The 2,829-nt window shown below is 43.1% G+C and overlaps 1 pseudogene; it reads right to left on the reverse strand.

Moving 5' to 3' along the window:
* Nucleotides 405-1,423, reverse strand: RPL15P21 (ribosomal protein L15 pseudogene 21; annotated as a pseudogene).

Here is a 2,829-nt window from a genome sequence, read left to right on the forward strand (position 1 = left end):
TTTTTTTGCCCTTGCGATAGTTTGCTGAGAATGATGGTTTCCAGCTTCATCCATGTTCCTACAAAGGACAAGAACTCATCCTTTTTTATGGCTGCATAGTATTCCATGGTGTATACGTGCCACATTTTCTTAATTCAGTCTATCATTGATGGACATTTGGGTTGGTTCCAAGTATTTGCTATTGTGAATAGCGCCACAATAAACATACATGTGCATGTGTCTTTATAGCAGCATGATTTGTAATCCTTTGGGTATATACCCAGGAACAGGATGGCTGGGTCAAATGTAAACTGCAGTTTCTTAATCTGTTAAATAGGGAGAAGCGTAATAGCCTGAGCTGGTATGCCTTGGGCTGCTGGCACATCAGCAAGTGCAAAGAGGTTTGGCCATTGGAGGTTTTTCTTTGACTGTCCTAAATTGTTTCTTAGGTGTGAATTTTACAAACATTACTTATATTAGCGGTAACGGTGGAGCCAGAGAGTATTGCACCTTCTCCAAGCTGCACGGCGAGAACCACTAATAGTGTGGTGGAACTTACGGCCCTTTCCAAGGCCACAGCTCTTTCAGCCTGCAGCTATCAGCCCATTCATCTTCCTGTGCTTGTGGACTGGTATGGTGATTCACAGGGTGTCAGGATTTCTTCTGACAGCTTTATGGAATGTATCAATGAGGATAACCTCAAAAAATTTGTATGAGGAATCTTTACCAACCCAGTGAGAATTCAGGCCTCTTAGAGGCCCACAGTAGCATCCAGCTCACTCCTCTGCAATGAACCGAAGGCTTCGAGCAAACTTTAGCTGGTTAACACCAGGATGGACAGGCTTGCTGTAAGTTGCACCCGTAGGAACTGGGTGTTTTCCACCACCATGGCGCACGTGAATCCTATATATAATGTAACCTGACTTGGCCTTCTATCCCAGTCCATGCGCTTTGTATCTGACTTGAGGGATGGGAAAGAACCCAGAAGAGAGAGTCACACTAAGCGAATGTTTCAGAATGAATGGAAATGTTGTCTTTGACAAACACTCCTAAGAGGCCAGGGGAAATAACTGAAAGGGTTTTACTGAAATGGGTCCAGTTAAACAACCCATTATGGTACTATATGTTTTTGCTAACATGTCTGTCCACTAGCCTGAAAACTCCTTTAGTCTTCTCGTGTCCTGTAACTTTGCTTGGCCTTGTAACTCTCAGAAGAAAGTGCATTCTTCTCAGTCCACATTGTGGGCTACTCAAACAATTAAAAGTTGGAATTCCCAGGACCGGTCCTTAGCCCCTTTTCTTCTGGTGCTCTTGTAACCTTCCTTGGCCTTATAACCCTTAGAAGAAACTGCATTACATCAGACTGCTTCTTCCTCCGTGGCTCCTGGAGATCTTTGTGTGTACCCATCTTGGCTTACTGGATGGCTGCCGCCAGATGGAAAGGCCGTTGGAATTACTGAAATGCAGAAATGCTCTGTGCCAACTGGCAAACAGCCACCATCAAAGCCCCTCTTCCTGCACCCCTTGCCCGCTGCCTCCTGATCGCCTTGGCTGCATTGGCTGCAGGTTTCCTCACCCGGACTCCCATCAGCATCAGCTAAAGTTTCACGTCTGGTCCAGATGCCTTGTGACACGGCATCCTTGTTGTCGTTATCAAGGTCATTTTTGAGTCCTCAGTACCTTGGCCGTGCCCATGGCTAAATGACATCGATGCCCTTGGGGAGAAGCATCACCCACCTGATGAGTTAGTGGTTGTTTACACTCTCTACAAACAAAAAGAAAGGTGATTTTTAGATTTTTCCATCTGACTCCTTGTTTTTGGCCAGCTGGGTGGGGTCAAGGTCAGATTTTGGCTGTGAGTGTCTATTAACACGTGCACTTTTGCTTCACAAATGGAGGAAAAACCTGTTAATGGTAGAGCCTTTGGATAATTCAGGCAAGGATTAGACTGAAGATGACCTTGACTTTGGAGATAATGAAATTTAATTATGCAAATACAATTGGAACACTGAAAGCACATAAGTAAAATTGGTTTTGAGCACCCAACTCACTCTTTATGTGGTGACCACTGGCGGGATTGTGATTTAAGCTAGGTAGGCTGTGGGCTATTCACATAAAGAGTATCAGTGAGACTGTAGTTCTTTTCAAAGATCTTGTTGATTTCTCTGTTCATGTATTGCAAATGACTGAAGACTTGTTCCATGTTTTCTCTCTCCTCCAGAAGTGATTTTTAAGATCTTTTAATGCCTAGGGCATGTTCATTCATTCAATAAACAGTTTTTGAGGCTTTACTCTGTGCCAGACATTTGTACTAATTGCTGGGAACAAAGGCAGAAAACCATATTTACTAAAGGAGTTTTCAGGCTAGTAACTAGACATGTTAACAAAAAATACATAATACCATAAATGCGTTGTTTTACTGGACATCTTTCAGTCATTTCCCTGGCCTCTTAGGAATGTTTGTCAAAGACAACATTTCCATTCTTTCAGAAACATTTGCTTAGAGTGACTCTCTCTTCTGGTTTCCCTTCCATTTCTCAGGTTGTTTCTTCTCAATTGTGGGCTACTTGTATTAGTCAGTTCTCACACTGCTGATAAAGACATACCCAAGACTGGATTATTAATGAGGAAAAAGAGGTTTAAAGGATTCACAGTTCTACATGCTCAGGGAGGCCTCACAATCATGCTGGAAGGCAAAAGGCAAGTCTTACATGGTGGCAGACAAGAGAGAATGAGAACCAAGTGAAAGGGGTTTCCCCTTATAAAACCATCAGCTCTCGTGAGACTTATTCACTACCATGAATAAGTATGAATAAGTATGGGGGAAACCGCCCCCATGATTCAATTATC

The sequence above is a fragment of the Homo sapiens genome, chromosome 17 (genome assembly GCF_000001405.40).
Source record: "Homo sapiens chromosome 17, GRCh38.p14 Primary Assembly".
Taxonomy (NCBI): domain Eukaryota; kingdom Metazoa; phylum Chordata; class Mammalia; order Primates; family Hominidae; genus Homo; species Homo sapiens.